General features: G+C 40.6%; 1 protein-coding gene across 9 annotated transcripts in view; it reads left to right on the top strand.

Moving 5' to 3' along the window:
• CILK1 (ciliogenesis associated kinase 1) overlaps positions 1–15184 on the top strand; it is a 60522-nt gene extending 45338 nt beyond the window's left edge. For 7 of the 9 annotated variants that reach the window (NM_014920.5, NM_001375400.1, NM_016513.5 and 4 more), the window contains 7 exons: positions 237–404; positions 2505–2825; positions 4260–4450; positions 4570–4718; positions 6920–7048; positions 10050–10172; positions 11184–15184. In NM_014920.5, coding sequence (NP_055735.1) covers positions 237–404; positions 2505–2825; positions 4260–4450; positions 4570–4718; positions 6920–7048; positions 10050–10172; positions 11184–11338 — 1236 coding nt within the window. In that variant the 3' untranslated portion in view covers positions 11339–15184. Of the gene's footprint in view, positions 1–236; positions 405–2504; positions 2847–4259; positions 4451–4569; positions 4719–6919; positions 7049–8887; positions 8999–10049; positions 10173–11183 lie in introns of all 9 variants that reach the window. The other 2 variants (NR_164684.1, NM_001375397.1) reach the window with 2 other exon arrangements.

Genomic DNA, 16927 nt, shown 5'->3' with positions numbered 1-16927 from the left:
TGGCAAATCCAGTGTCTTTTCCACTATTCCCCCAGATTTCATGGTCTTGGTGGTCTCTCTATTAATCTAAATCTATGTCTCATTCCATACAGTGCCACAGTAGTGAATGTGGGTGGTTAATGAATGTGGGTGGGTAATGACATGGTTGCCTTTCCATTTGGGGCACACATGCCAGAATACAAACTTATATCACAGCAATTGGCTGAGCAAGATTTTCTATCTTTTCCTTCTTTCAGACTGACTGGCCTGAAGGCTATCAACTTTCAAGTGCAATGAACTTCCGTTGGCCACAGTGTGTACCCAATAACTTAAAGACCTTGATTCCCAATGCTAGCAGTGAAGCAGTCCAGCTCCTGAGAGACATGCTTCAGTGGGATCCCAAGAAACGACCAACAGCTAGTCAGGTTTTCTTCCATTTTCTTGTTATAACGTTCATATCTAACTCTGAATAATTTCTATGAATTGCACAGGAAATATTTAGTATTTAGTATTATGGGTGAGAAATAGTACAGAATACCACTAATGGTGTACTATATAAGGTATGAGAACTTAAAATAGTTTGAAACTTACTGGGTATAAAGTAGTTACAATGTAAACAATATAGTTGCTTTGAAAATTGGCATGTAATTCACATGATATATCACCATTTATATGGAAATGGAAATAAACATATATTTATCTGTCTTTGGAGAATGTTTTCAAATCTATTCTCTATGAGTTACAATTATATAGTAGTTTGTTTATAAGCCGGTACTGGTTGTTGAAAGGCAACTTCATATTATGTAAAAGTCCAACTGACTCATAACCTGAAGAGATTGACAGATGAGATAGACCTAGGATAGTAACTGCACTTAGTATTTCATAGCACTTTACAGTGTGCAAATGCTTGAATATATTTTATATGATTTTTAATCCAATAAAGACTCCATGAGACAGGCATTATTGTTTTCAATTCTGTGAGTGAGAAAACTCAATCTTGGAAAGTTTAAGCAATTTGCTCTAATCACTCATCCATTAATTAGTTCAAATAGTGCAACTAACTACAATTCAACCAACTGACCGGAAGTATGAAGTCAGGTCCACTGGTTTCATAGCTCCTTTCCCAATCCATCCTCCCATGGGCCACTTAGACTTAAATAATGAAATATACCCAAAAGAGGTATGGTAACGCTGGGGGCTCTTATCACTCACAGGCATCTTGCAAGCCTCCTTTTGTGGTAGTTACATCTGGCCCCTTCTCAACTTGTCTCACTGACAATTACATTGCTCAGAGGATCATATAAGTGACCAATTCTAATCAGAGAAGATGTTCAGAAGAAGAGTGATGAGGATATTTGAAGAAAAGTGCCAATGTGGTGGTAGAATTTGTGATAGCTGGGGAGATGATAGTTGGAGGAATAATTAAGGAGTGTAGAAAAGCAATTTTCTGAAAGCTCAAGGAAAAAAGAACTACAATTTGGTGCCGTAAGACTTTGGATGGCTCAAGGGCTGGAAAGCTCTCAGGAATGCAGTTCTGGTGGTGAAATTCACAAATGGCTGCAGGGCAGAAAAGAAGCTTTTGGATGAACCCAGTTTTTTAACAGATGCATGTAAGAAATGGAAAGAAAAAGATTCTGTAACAAGGAAGCAAGAGAGGAATGTATGCTTTTAAGAATAGTGTGAAAAGCTAAAAATACCCCCCAAATCAGTTAAGACTTGCAAAAATGTCTGTGACTACAGAGAAGGCTTTCAAGTTATAATAGATGCTAGAGTCTGGGACCTCTACCAGGCTATTCCCATTAATTGCCTCTGTATCTACACTTGCATATAATCATTACAGATGTTTATAACTGTCCCAGGCCTACTCAGAAAGATTATGTTATGCTTAATAACTTTCATTCAGAAAGACAAGAGAATATAGGAAATATTTCAGAAAGAATTGTAACCCCCTAAACTTTAAGTTATCTCTTGGCTATCCAGAAAACTCAGTTATCCAGAACAACTGACACGGTTTTGTTCTTGATAGGGAAGGGTTAACTATATCATGTATTACACTCTTGGCACTTTTGGGATAAAAGCATATGTGCCTGCTTATTTTGTACTCAATTCTTCAGAGTCTTCCAGGATCATTATGTTTGGCTCTTTCAGTTTTGTATTATTTTTTTCTTCTTCTGTGGAATGAGGAAATAGGCTTGGAAGGATGAAATACTCTATTTAAGACACATAGCAAATAAGTTACAAAACCAGGATCTGTGTTGATCCAGAATGCTTTTTAGAAGTAGCCAGGGTAACAGCAGTGTAACTGGCTACTATATATAAATAACTTTGTGTTGCAATCATTACATATATTTTATGGTATCTTAGATAAGAAAAATCACAAGGGGTGTTAAAAATTCAAGGTACTGTTTTCTAATTGGGCTAAGAAACAGTAGTAAACTGGTCACAATGAAATATAGCCCAGTAATCAAGACAGTGGTAACTTTCCTGGCTAGACTTTTCTCCTAAAGCCTTATTTGTCATTCCAGGCACTTCGATATCCTTACTTCCAAGTTGGACACCCACTAGGCAGCACCACACAAAACCTTCAGGATTCAGAAAAACCACAGAAAGGCATCCTGGAAAAGGCAGGCCCACCTCCTTATATTAAGCCAGTCCCACCTGCCCAGCCACCAGCCAAGCCACACACACGAATTTCTTCACGACAGCATCAAGCCAGCCAGCCCCCTCTGCATCTCACGTACCCCTACAAAGCAGAGGTCTCCAGGACAGATCACCCAAGCCATCTCCAGGAGGACAAGCCAAGCCCGTTGCTTTTCCCATCCCTCCACAACAAGCATCCACAGTCGGTGAGCAGCCCAGATTCACCAGTGAGCTTCGTGTCTGTTTATTCCTCTTCTGACCCCATTATTGTGTGAAATATTTTCTTTTTCAGTATACAGGGTCCAGTTATGGTAGATTTATGTTTGCAACAGCATGGAATTGTAAAGACCCTTGGCTTTGGAGTGAAAGATCTAAATTCAAGTTCTGGCTGTGCCTGTTAAAACCGTTGTCACTAATGGAGGCAGCTATAGGGTAGTGGCTGGGAGCTGGCCTCTGCAGCCAGACTGCCAGGGGCTCAAATCTCAGCTCTGCTGTTTAGTAGCTTGATACCTATGCAAGTTATCTGGCTTCTCTGCTCCTCATTTTCCTCATCTGTAAAATAAGGATAATAATAGTACTTACCTGATACAATTGCTTTGAGGACTAATGAGTTAATACTTGAAAAGAATTTAGAATAATACCTGGCACCTAGTTACAACTCTGTAAAGGTCAGTAATTGTTATTAATCCCTATGGATTCAGTTTCCTCATTTATCAAAGGAAGATTATAGTGCATGTCTTACCTACCAGACAGGGTTGTTCATGAGGATCAAAGGCCATGATGTTTTTAAGATATTTTGAAAAGCATAAAGCGCTGTGTTAATATTTGTAGATTGTTATCCACATTACTGCTGTTATTCAATATGTTAATGCTGGGCTATTAACTGAGCCCAGATCTTTCTGCTCCTCTTTGGCTGCTTTTCAAAAGAAAAAAATGAGTGTTAGATTTAGTAAAATAATAACCTGACAAGGGGTTCTATTTTTTATTAGCTTTGCAGTGCTGTCTGAAGAGGCCAACTGTCTATCCTTTATGAAAAAGTGGCACTTTCTGTGTCAGTTAGTATTTGCTGACTGCTGGCTCCCAACCACCACAATGTGAGATGCAAGGGTGGTATCTCTGGCCTAGTCACTTTATTGCAGCACACAATTTAGAAGTGGTATGTGTATGGAAATGTCCTGTTGTAGCTAATTCTTTATAGCTAAGAGATAGTAACTATATATACTGAGAAGGCAAAAAAAAGCATTATTTGCATTGATTTCTGTAAAAGGACAGGCTAACTGACATCTTAGCCTTAATTTCTTACATCCATATTTATAACAGAGATCATATTAACTCATCTAGGATGAGACTGAGTATGAATTTAGCCATCTTCCTGGTGTGTAAGAAGTATCTTAAAAATTTTTTTATCCTTATTTTATACAACTTTAACATCATCAATGGATGGCAGCTGATACAATCTGTGAAGGATGAGTGAGACAGAAAGATTGGGAATGTGTTTTCTACAGTTGCCCCTTCAGATAAGCAATGTTATGCCCCAGGAGCCTCCTTTGCATAGCAGAGAAAGTTCAGATGGAGATTACTCATGGATGAGTTCTGTTAATGCCAAGTATTGCTTTCCCCCACCCCGTTTGTTTACACAGAAAATCACAGCTGGCCTGGAGCACAAAAATGGTGAGATAAAGCCAAAGAGTAGGAGAAGGTGGGGTCTTATTTCCAGGTCAACAAAGGATTCAGATGATTGGGCTGACTTGGATGACTTGGATTTCAGTCCATCCCTCAGCAGGATTGACCTGAAAAACAAGAAAAGACAGAGTGATGACACTCTCTGCAGGCAAGTGTGCTGCTCACATTTGTAAACAGACTGAATCTGGAATTCATGAGATTATGGGTACATATCCGAGAATACATACTGTCTCTCGTGCTGACCCAAGCCATGCTCTCTTCATTCAGGTTTGAGAGTGTTTTGGACCTGAAGCCCTCTGAGCCTGTGGGCACAGGAAACAGTGCCCCCACCCAGACGTCATATCAGCGGCGAGACACGCCCACCCTGAGATCTGCAGCCAAGCAGCACTATTTGAAGCACTCTCGATACTTGCCTGGTAATATAAATGACTTGGCTTTACTTTGATTATTAATAAGAAACCCTGTCCTTGGAATCACATATTCACAAAGGTTCTGTTTTAGAAGGCAGATACTAGGGGGCTTCCCTTCAGAACTGAGGGGAACATCATAGAAATATTTGCTGAAGCCCAAGCCTCACTTTTTTTTTGAGTTGGAGTCTCTCTCTGCCACCCAGGCTGGAGTGCAATGGCGCCATCTTGGCTCACTGTAGCCTCCACCTCCTGGGTTCAAGCGATTCTCCTGACTCAGCCTTCTGAGTAGCTGGGACTACAGGTGCCCACCACCATGCCTGGCTAATTTTTGTATTTTTTAGTAGAGACAGGGTTTCACCATATTGGCCAGGCTGGTCTTGAACTCCTGATCTCAAATGATCCACCAGCCTCGGCCTCCCAAAGTGCTGGAATTACAGGCATGAGCCACCGTGCCTGGGCCCAGGCCTCACATTTTTATCTTTTATAGTCACCCAAGATAAGAAATATGGTATAGGAAACTGGGTCCAGCCTCCAGGGAGGGAGGAACTGGCAAAAGCTGGGCGGCATGTCTGAGGCCCCTCTACCAGACCAGGTTTAGGGGAAATGGCCAATAGGGAAACCAGGGTAGGAGCTTAGTCACACTGTCCTGGCAGTACTATGGGGGTTAAATGTCAATGCTATAGTTTGGTGGGTATCCAAGCCTCTCTCCTGATTTTCTATATTCCAAACTTACAGCATTAGTGAATCATTCATTCAGTACATATGTATCAAGCATCTACTGCATGCCAAGCACTGCGAATATTATTGTGAACAAAACAGCCAGGCAGGGCCACTGGGTCACACAACCCTGGGGAATTCCTTCACACTGTAGTCTACACAGTGGCTTTATACAGCAGCTTTATACAGCAGCTTTGCAAACAACATCCTCACCCTCACACAGCTTATCTGCTAGTGGTGGGAGAGAGACTTTAACAAATAGACAAATAGTAATCACAGATTGTAAAAGAATGGTCAGGTAAGGCCTCTCTGAATAAGCAACTTGACTGGGCCCCAAAGAATGAGAAGGAACCAAATGTGCAGAGAGCTGAGGGCAGAGCACACCAGGGAGAGAGGAAACAGCAAGTGCAAAGGTCTAGAGGCAGGAGAGGGCTTGTCCTGTGAGAGGAATGGCAGAAGCCAGTGTGGCCAGAGCATAGTGAGAAAGGAGGTGACGTAATGTGTAGTATGAGGCATTTTTGGGGCCTTGTAAGAAATTTGGATTTTGCTTCATGAGCGATGAGAAGTCCCTGAAGGGTTTTAACTGAAGGAGTGATGTGGTTGTATCAACACCTGTGTGCTGAGTAGGGGAGGGGCCAGCAAGCTGTAGCTGTCATCCAGGTGAGGGAGATGGCGGCACAGGCTGAGCTGGAGTCAGAAGGGAGGAATGGGGTGAGAATGGCAGGCCCTCTTGATGCATGAAATTCCTCACCCTCTGGTTTGGAATGTGGCTTCTAAATATTGCTAGACTTCATCAGGATTGACATTTTGTTCTTAGAAGATTGGCCTGACAGGCCCCAGGATGATCTGGAAGAAGAGAGATCCAGATGACAGGTATAGAGTGATCCAGTATGAGTGGCCAAGCCTCGAATTACAGTGACCACAGGCAAAAAGGAGCAGGGAGTGAATCAGAGAGCTATTTTATTTCTTTTTGGTTGTAGGGGAAGAAGGAGAAGGATAAAGGGGGAATTTAAACTTTCAGTTCTGAAAAAAAGCTGCAGTGCCTGTGGGAATGGGAGTAATGGTCCAGGTCGGGTGAGAAGATGGAACTCTGGAGACAAGACAGAGAGAGGAGAGCAGAGGGCTGCAGAGTTGGAGGCCATGGGTGGGGGATGGAGAAGAAACTGAAAAGGTGACTGAAAGGAAGTAGTCTGTGAAGGGGAAGAACAGCATGTCCAGCAGCAGTGAAGCCCAGGATGGCACCAGAGGGCCAAGAGGTGGGACAGATCCATTGGATCTTAGAAGCATAAGAGGCCTCTCTCGGGCCACCAACCAGTGAGATATCTTTCCTCGGACATCTGTCAGATGACATCATCACAGTCAGTTTTTGCTTTGATTATTGTATCATAGAGAGTTTTTGACAAATTGAGTTCTGCATTAATTTTATCTTTGTAGTCTAGTGTAAGATTCATTGTGTATTTTGCATTTTAAAATCATTTCTTCTCTATCAGGGATCAGTATAAGAAATGGCATACTCTCGAATCCAGGCAAGGAATTTATTCCACCTAATCCATGGTCTAGTTCTGGCTTGTCTGGAAAATCTTCAGGGACAATGTCAGTAATCAGCAAAGTAAATTCAGGTGAGTAATGATCATTAACCCCTAAATGGCAAAAAGCAAATTCCCTGGATGCAGGAAGGTGGGCACAAGGAGTCATGGGACGGGCTTTGGAAGCACAGGGGCCTTTGTCATCTGAAAGCTCAGGCCTCTTTTCCAGCCCTATCCTCCTCTCTTTCTCGGCAGCAGTCCCTTGGGACTCAGCCAGCTCCCAGGGGAGTCTGCCTTCCAGGGTAGCTGGGGAGTAGAGCATAGTCATCCCTGGCTCAAGGGAAAAACAAAAATACCTTTACAGACTCTTACTAGGCCTGATGGCTAAAGCCCTGGCTGCAGCAGGCACCCTCCTCTTGAGGTGGAAGTCACCCTTGGCTGTGTCTGCCTTGTTCCAGCCTGTCCCCTCCTTCTGATGACCCAGCTGCAGGCCCAGAGTATCAAGATCCCTTCTAGTTGGAAGGTGGACAGTTTGGAAGACCCTCCCCACTTTTTTTGTTAAACGGATGAATGAATTTACTGAGTCCCAAGGCTGACAAACCCTGTTCACAGTAGAGACGTTTCCTGCATCATTTTTCCCTGATGCAGGCAGCCCCTGCCATGTGCTGCTTTCCCCTCTGCACTGCCAAGTGCACTGCCTTCATCCATTAGGTGTTTGTTTAATTTAAGGAAAATAAAAAAGAAAGAGATAATATAGCAACACCTGTGTAGCCATCACCCAGCTTAAGAAGTCAAACTTTGGCCAGGTGTGGTGGCTCATGCCTGTAATCCCAGCACTTTGGGAGGCTGAGGCTGAGGCAGGTGAATCACTTGAGGTCAGGAGTTTGAGACCAGCCTGGCCAACATGGTAAAACCCTGTCTCTACCTAAAATATAAAAATTAGCCAGGCATGGTGGCAGCAGGCCTGTAATCCCAGCTACTCAGGAGGCTGAGGCAGGATATCACTTGAACCTGGGAGGCGGAGGTTGCAGTGAGCCAAGATTGCGCCACTGCACTCCAACCTGGGTGATAGAGTGAGATTCTGTCTCAAAAAAAAAAAAAAAAGTTGAACTTGGCAAATACACATGAAGCCCAGTGTCTGTGCCTTTCCCGCCTCCCTGCTTCCCCTTACCTCCCCCCATGCCAGCCTGATCGAGTGTTTATTTAGGTTTGTATAAACTTCATAGTGTGGTTTTGCAGGTTTTAAAATTTATGTGAAGATAATCTTGGATCACTGCTTCATGCATTTTAATAAATATATGTGTAGCAATTATAGAGATATATATCATATATTATATAACATATACAATATATATCTATACAACACCATAACTTATTATTTATGTGGACCATAATTTATGTATGCCTTCTCTTCTTGATAAATACATAAGTTGATTGCAATTTTTGCTATTAGAAAGAGTGCTGAGATGATTATTGTACCCCTATTGTTATGCACATGTGTGAGGATTCCTCTGGGTACGAGAACTAGGAGTCAACATTTTATTTTATTTTATTTTATTTTATTTATTTATTTTTATTTATTTATTTATTTTAAGACGCAGTCTTGCTCTGTTGCCCAGGCTGGAGTGCAGTGGCATGATCTCGGCTCACTGCAACCTCTGCCTCCCTGGTTCAAGCAATTCTCCTGCCTCAGCCTCCCAAGTAGCTAGGATTACAGGCATGTGCCACCACACCCAGCTAATTTTTTTTTTTTTTTGTATTTTTAGTAGAAACAGGGTTTCACCATGTTGGCCAGGCTGGTCTCGAACTCCTGACCTCAGGTGATCCACCCGCCTGGGTCTCCCATTGTGCTGGGATTACAAGTGTGAGCCACCATGCCCAGCCAGAGTCAACATTTTAGGTTAAAGGGTGTGCTCATCTTCAACTTCACAGATATTGCCAAACTACTTGCTCTCCAGCGGGATATGGGAGTTGCTCTGCATCCTTGATGCCACTTGGTACTGTCAAGACTAAAATTTGTGCTAATCTGATGAGTGAGAAATGGTATCCTATTGTGGTTTAAACTTGCATGTCCTATTTACTAATGAGGTTCATCATCTTTTCTTGTGTTTATTGACTATAAGTTTTTTCTCTTTTGTGACTTACCTGTTCAAATTCTCTTCCCATTTTTCTTCATGTTTCTTCATTCACCAAAGTACAAAATACACCCCAGCTGACCAACGCAACTCCTCACGCAGGCATTCTAGACTGTGTTTCCACTCTGCCTTAAACAATTGCTGAAAAAGCTCTGTGTTGTGAAAACAGAGCAACTCTACTACTTACTGACTTTTCTTAATGGTTAGAATTTCCATTTCTATAACGGGCAATAATAACAGTCTTCATTATTCCATGTGTACCTTTAAGCCTAAATAATAAGAATTATATTCATTCACCCATCCAAAATTAATTGATTATCTGCTATATGCAAGGCATTCTGTTATCCTCCCCAGAATACCAAGACGAGTAGCATACAGTCCCTGCCCTTAAAGCACTCCCAAGTGGAAATGACATAAAAAGTTAAGGTATTTCACATTGTAAAAAATGGTTAATTTTTCTGATGTGGATAAGAATATTTAGTGTGTAATTACTTGTCACAGCTAAATAATTTAATATAACCTGTGTGTTGATCAATAAGAAAATGGTTAAATGGATTATGGTTTAGCCATACTCTAGAATTTATATGTACTCACATGGAAGGATAACTATTCTATATTATGGAGTGAAAAAAGCAAATTTTAGAATAGTCTAAATCTACTTTTACAAAAGAAAATAAAGAACAAATGTCATATTTCCCTTTTTTAAAAAAATTTCACAACCAACCCACCCTCTATTTGGTTGCCCCTCACAGGAGCAGCACTGTCTTTGGCCCCCGCAGTCTTTCTGACAGGGTAGTATGGTGGGATGCTTGGCTCTGAACTCATTTTTATCATGATTTGCTCTTTTCCCTAAAAGTAAAAACTTAGTTTGTTATTGCTCTGCAGTGCTGTCATTTAACCTTGTTGGTGTCCTGGGTACATGTCTTTGTAATAATGAGCTTTTTGCTTTTGCAAATCAGTTGGTTCCAGCTCTACAAGTTCTAGTGGACTGACTGGAAACTATGTCCCTTCCTTTCTGAAAAAAGAAATCGGTTCTGCTATGCAGAGGGTACACCTAGCACCTATTCCAGACCCTTCCCCTGGTGAGTTGTATTTTAAATTATTCATGAATTTACTCAACAAATGGTTACTCAACAACTGCTTTGTGCCAGGCATGTTTTAGGCCTGGGATCCACCAATAAATGAAACTTGCACTCTACAGACAATAAGTAAGCTAAATAAGTGCTATATAACATATAGTAAGTCAGATGCTTACTGACTTAGTGCTAAGGAGAAAAATACAGCAGACAGGAGGTAGGGATTGTGGGGGTTGGAGTGTGGGGTACAGGTTACAATTTTAGATAGAGTAGCTAAAGAAGAGCTCACTGCAAAGGAGTTGTTGAGTAGAGACCTGGAGGAGGTGATTGAGCAAGCATACAGTATGAGTGAGGCTTTTCCAGACAGGAGATTGTTCTGTGCTTGAGCTTTCAGGCAGAACTGGCCTGGCAAATTCAAGGAGCAGCAAGGAGGCCAGAGTGTGGGAGTGACAGGAGTGAGAGGGGGAGTAGCAAGATGAGGTCAGGGGTGATACGATGCCTGTAAGCACATTGTCATGGATTCTGAGTGACGTGGAGTCCCTGGAGGGCTTTGAGTCCATAAGTGAGGTGATCTGACAGCCATCTCCACAGGCTCCCTCAAGCTGCTGTTGTCATGAGACTGAAGTAGGGGCAAGGTAGGAAGCAGGGAATCCAATTAGGAGGATGTTGAAATTATCCAGGTAAGAAATGATGCTAGCTTGGGCCAGCGTGGTAGTAGTTCAGTTGGTAAAAAGTTGCCAGGTTCTGTAAATATTTGGAAGGTAGAACTAATAGGATATCCTGACAAATTATATGTGGTATATGAAAAAAAGAGGGGTCAAGAATGATGCCATTATTTTTGGCCTGACAACTTTAAAACGATGTCTTTAACTGCAGTAGAGAAGATTATAAGTAGGAGACAAGATGCTCCTCTTGAACTCCTTATTTTCTCATGTTTTTGTCACCAAAATGCATTTATTTGTACTTTGCTTACATTGGCCCCATATCAGTCATGCCGGCCTTTTTCTTTCATTGCAGGTTATTCCTCCCTGAAGGCCATGAGACCTCATCCTGGGCGACCATTCTTCCACACCCAGCCTAGAAGCACTCCTGGGTTGATACCACGGCCTCCAGCCGCCCAGCCAGTGCATGGCCGGACAGACTGGGCTTCCAAGTACGCATCTCGGCGATGACTGTCTGCCTTGGTGATGAATCTCTTCCTAGGGAGAAGCAGGATACTTTCCCTCAGCTGACTGGTGTTCTACCTGCAAGATGTGCAGAGGGCATAAAAGCAAATCAACACTTTATAGTTATTCTTCTGAACTAAGACATGTCAATATTCTTTTTTAAAGTTTTTTTTTAAAATATTGATTTGAATGCAGTAGGCTTTTTTGTATAAAATTATTTTATTCTAAAACTGGGTCCCATTATTTTCTTAAACAACAGCATTTTGTATATATGGATTATGTTTTAGCATTTTATACAGTCAACTTTGTAATGAACTTTTTAAAAATTAATTGATTTTCCTTTGGGGTTCCAGATAATATTTTCTACAGATTTTGAAAAATGTAATAATATTAATGCAGTATTGCAACAGGGGTGCAATTTAAGGCTATGTGATAGAGGGTTATTTACTCAGTGTGTGCAGATATTTATGAAGTGGTGAAATTTCAAGTGTGGCTCACTAGGTACTTCAGGCCTTCTTGGACTGTTGTTAGAAAAGTGATCCTCTGCTTTTCTTAGTAGGTCATTGGTTTGATTTTTGGATACCACTCTGCTGTTCTAAAAGGACTATTATATTATATAATTCACTTTGTTTTACTTTTGTTCCCCAGATGAAAGAACTCTAAGTAAATACATTTTAAAAAATTTTTCTGACACCCTTTAATGTGGTTGCAGATCTCAGATGAAACCAAGCTTAATTATACTATGCCATTATATTCTAATTTATTCCATTTTTGAAATCAAGTTGTATGTGTACCAATAAAAGAGATTTCTGCTTCAAAAGGCTCTCAACATGAAGGTTAACACAGTCAATCAAACTTACATTCCTGCCAAGATGCATGGCCAAAAAACTAAGTATCAAAGCAGCAGAAGGTTTTTGATTATAGTAACTGAGATGGAATTTTGTGCCTAGCTCAGTTCTCCAGATCTGGCTAGGAGCAGTCAATGACTAATGTTCTGTCCTAGCCAAATTCTCAGGACAATTTGGGGAGCAGAAAGAGTTATGGCAGAGGTTCCACTCATCTACAAAGTCACAGTCACATGCCACATTTGATCTCCTAACCCTGGTGTAGTTTCTTTCAAGAGTGAGAACTTTATTTGTTGGGCAGAGGCTGTTCCATTGAGAGGAATGTTTACAGCAGTTTCAAAAATGACAAAGTCAGTTTGGAGACAGAAAAAGACAAAAGGTCCAGTCTCATCCATCTCTATATGGTACATTTGCCTCACTTATGGTTGCCTTAAAGGCAAGAGGGAAGGTCACCATCAGTGAACGCAATGCAATCTCAACAGTGTATTGATTCATATTCTCCTAGGGCTCAAACTACTCTCTATTGGTTCCAGGATAATGACAAATTGAACCATATGTAAGTAATCTTTTATTTTTTATTTTTTTTTTGAGACAGAGTCTCACTCTGTCACCCAGGCTGGAGTGCAGTGGCGCGATCTTAGCTCTCTGCAACCTCTGCCTCCCAGGTTCAAGCCTCCTGAGTAACTGGGACTACAGGCGCCCGCCACCACGCCCAGCTAATTTTTTGTATTTTTAGTAGAGACGGGGTTTCACTGTGTTAGCCAGGACGGCCTCGATCTCCTGACCTCGTGATCCACCCTCCTCCACCTCCCAAAGTACTGGGATTACAGGCATGAGCCACTGCACCCAGCCAAGTGATCATTTTTATAGGTTAAAATGATAGGTGAAATGAATATAGACACTTTCATATGGTTCAACCTAATGACTTGGTAAATTATTGCCTTGGTGTATTAATAATATGTTGCATTCTGAACAAATAACCATGGCTTCCAAAGGGCCCTAACCTAAAATCGGAGAGTAATTTATGCTTTGGAGAATTTGACTCAAATATATACTTGACCAAGCACCATGATCCCTAGGGGCATGAGAAAAGCACATAATGGATGTGGATGTGATAGGTGGTCTTTTCCTGTTAACAAGCTGGCAGCAAAGCTTCAGAAAATATATATGCAAGCACAACTTGAAGCTGAATTCATTTCTGTATTATATTCTCAACTCGTTATCTAAAGCATCAGAACATGTGTTTTCAGAGATGAGTCCTTTACTATAAGGTTAATATTTATTTTCATTTTCTGTATTATATATGAAAAGTAAATTAATGTGAAACCTGGCCCAGCTTGCTGGAAAGCAGGTTTTAAATTGTAAATATTCCTTAGAGGAGCAAATGGATTGTTTAATACCATAGTCTCAGTAATCTAGCTTATATAAGGTCATTACATTTTTTAACTGAAAAACCTAGTTACCTGATTATTGCACATTATAAAATTGTTTTTCTAATACTTTATAGGGCCCAACTTCAGAAAATACTTCGCTTTTTTCTTTTTATGCTTTCGTTTGTTTACCAGCAAGCAACTTCCCTGGGGAAGCCAAACACATATTCATAAAAAAAATCAAGTAGCTGATGTGCAGTTGAGAAAACTAGAGGACTGAAAAAACAAATTTTAACTAGCAAATGCTGTGAATTACTCTTCCTCCCCTTCTCTGAAATGGGTAAAGGACAAATTGTGTAAAAAAACCTATGCACTATAGAAGGGAATAGTAACCATTTCTTTTGTCTCTCTGTTTCTGTTCTGACTGAGAACCTGCAGCCATTTCTTGTTACATGAAAACAAAATGCTACTTGTTACCTCTATTTTTTGTTACTATACAATTATGAAATGTAATGTAAGACACCAACAGAAATGATATACCTGTAACTGTACCTATCAGGACTATACCTCATTTACAGTCAGAAAGCTTACTGGGATGTCAGGAAATGATACAGGGTTGGTTCTCATTTCGTGCCGAAATGAGACAGAAATTCAGTGACGAAGGTGCGTTGTAGGGGTATTGATGTGCCCCAGGTAGTGCCAGCAGAGTAGGGAAAACTGCATTTGCATAAAAACTACTCTTGACATGATTGTTCATTTTACAAAAAAATTCCATTAATTACCAAGCCCTCACCCAGCCCATGTGTGATAGGATTTATGTAGGAAGAAACTTGATTTTCAAATAATTTTTTAAATGTATCTCTTGCCTAAAGGACTATATACATCTAATAAAGTAACACTGTGTCATCTTCTGGAGTTATCAAAAATTGTATACAATCAAGACAACACAAGAATTATTTTATTTTTGAGTGCAAATACAGGTACTGTTGGAGTTGATGGGCACCATGCTTTCTCATGAAGTAGCATTTCCCTACCATCAAGCCATTGTTTTGTGCCATTCAGGAGAGGAAAAAAAGGAATTTATGCTGTACATTTCAGTTCAGTGTATGACCAAAAGCAATATGTTTATAAGAAGATGTTTGACATACTAATTATTTTATATCATTTAAACCATACTGTAGCAACATAATATATGGAGCTAATTTGTAGAATTATTTTTACGATTTCCAAACAAATGTACTGTACTGTTATATAATTTATTGTGAGGACCTTCTCATGGAAGCCATTAGGAAAACAAACTAGAGGTAAATATCACATTAATCTGTATTATCAATTTCTCATAGACACTGTGCTAATGTGAATTTTAAATGACCTGCATCAAGTCTTCTGATCTCAGATAACTCAGTACAGATAGCAATTAGTCAGCTGATTTGATTACAATGGAGTAACCGACAATATATTTATTTATAAAGCACATATTCATAATAACGAGAAGAATTCAGAAAACCACTTAAGCAAGACCCTTCTGAAATAAAAAATGTTGCTTTTTAAATAGTTTGTCCTAAGGTGTTTAAAACATGTCAACCTTATGTAAGGAAAAATTTCCTGGTCCAAATAAAGTTGAAGTTTAAGAAAAATTGATTTGAGTGTTCTGTTTTTGTTTTCATGTTCTTCCATTAGTATTTTCTAATTTTTGTCCTTAGTTAGTCCATTTGGAACTTCGATGTTTTCTAACTTCTCCTGAATGCTTAGTATCTATCGTGCTACTGCTATGAAATTAGATGCATGCACTTAGAGCAGCAGAATGAAGAGTTATCCTGCAATGTGGAGGTTTTGTTAAAGTTCAGCTTTTAGAAAGTTAGGCGTCTGGGAGTGGTGGCTCATACCTGTAATCCCGGCACTCTGGGAGGTGGAGGCGTGAGGATCCCTGGAACCTAGGAGTTCGAGACCAGCCTGGGCAACATGGCAAGACCTGTCTCTACCAAAATTACAAAATTTAGCCGGATGTGGTGGTGTGCACCTGTGGTCCCAGTTACTTGGGGGGCTGAGGCAGGGGAATCACTTGAGCCCAGGAGACAGAGGTTATAGTGAGCCCAGATCACCCCCCTCCACCCCAGCCTGGGCAACAGAGTGAGGCCCTGTCTCAAAAAAAAAAAAAAAAAAAAAAAAAAAGCAAAAGCAGGTGGAAACAGTTTCTTGTTCCTGATTTCATCATTTTAACCTGCCTTGTATGTCTTTTAGCTTTTCACAGCACATTCTCATATACAATATAAACCTTCAAAAGAAGTTCATAACTTCATGAACTACATAAAGAATGTCACAGGAAATTCATTTTCTAAACATTCTTTGACTCCTTGACAGGATTTTCTAGGAACATGATCTACCAATCAAACTTGCATTGGTGAATCCCTAAGTGTGCCTCTCGCCATCAGAACAGTGACTTTACTGTGTAGTCATGGGCATTTGTCTTTTTGGCATCACGTTGGGCCCATGTTGCCCCTTCAGAAACCCTGAAGAAGCCATTTCAAGCTCTCAACCATCTTTCCTGATAAGAAAACCCACTTGTTAGAATAGGGTCTTACACCAATCGCTTATAGCTAAGGCTGAATTTAAGTCAAATGTTTCCCTCTTCTGGGAGTATACAAAGCTCTTAAACTGAGATTTGAAGCTCTTGACTTCTGTGCAAGCAATTTTACCTACTACTGAGCAGATGAGTGAAGGGTTGAGGCTAAGAAGACTTCTCAGGGCCTCTGAAAATGTATCAGGTAGGTAGGTGGGTAGGTAGGTAGGTAGAATAGATAGATAAAATGAGTAAGACTGTCTCAGGATGAGGGCAACTCTAAGGGTCTTCAAGAACAAGTAGGTTGATGATGTCAGGGGCTTCAAAGGAATAAAATGCCTTTGGGGTACCTGTCATAGAGTGCCAGAACTATTATAACAGGAGTTTTCATTTCTCCCCAAGCCTGTGTAATAGCAGTCATGCTGCTACCTTAGTTACACTTTCAGGTGAACAAGGCTGAGTGTTACCCAAAAAAGGTGTCCTGATCCAGATCCTAAAAGAGGGTTCTTGGATCTCGCACAGGAAGGAATGTAAGGCGAGTCACCCAGTGCCATGAGAAGTAACATTTTATTGAAAGCTACTCAGTTACAGAGTAGAGCATTCTCAGAAAGCAAGAGGAGGAATGCCTCTTCTTTGTTTTTATTCGATAGGGGTCTTATCTCTGTAAAAGGTAAGCTAAGCAATGTCTACGTGCGAGTGGGCTAACAGAATGAAAAAAATTAGTACTTTGTTAATTTAAAGAAAGGTATCCTTGGCATTTTCATGCGTAAATACGTGAAAGCATGACTATAATTACCTTAAAGGTGTTTAGCATTATGCA

This window comes from Homo sapiens, chromosome 6, assembly GCF_000001405.40.
Source record: "Homo sapiens chromosome 6, GRCh38.p14 Primary Assembly".
Classification (NCBI taxonomy): Eukaryota; Metazoa; Chordata; class Mammalia; order Primates; family Hominidae; genus Homo; species Homo sapiens.
This window is presented reverse-complemented; position numbering and strand designations above follow the sequence as displayed.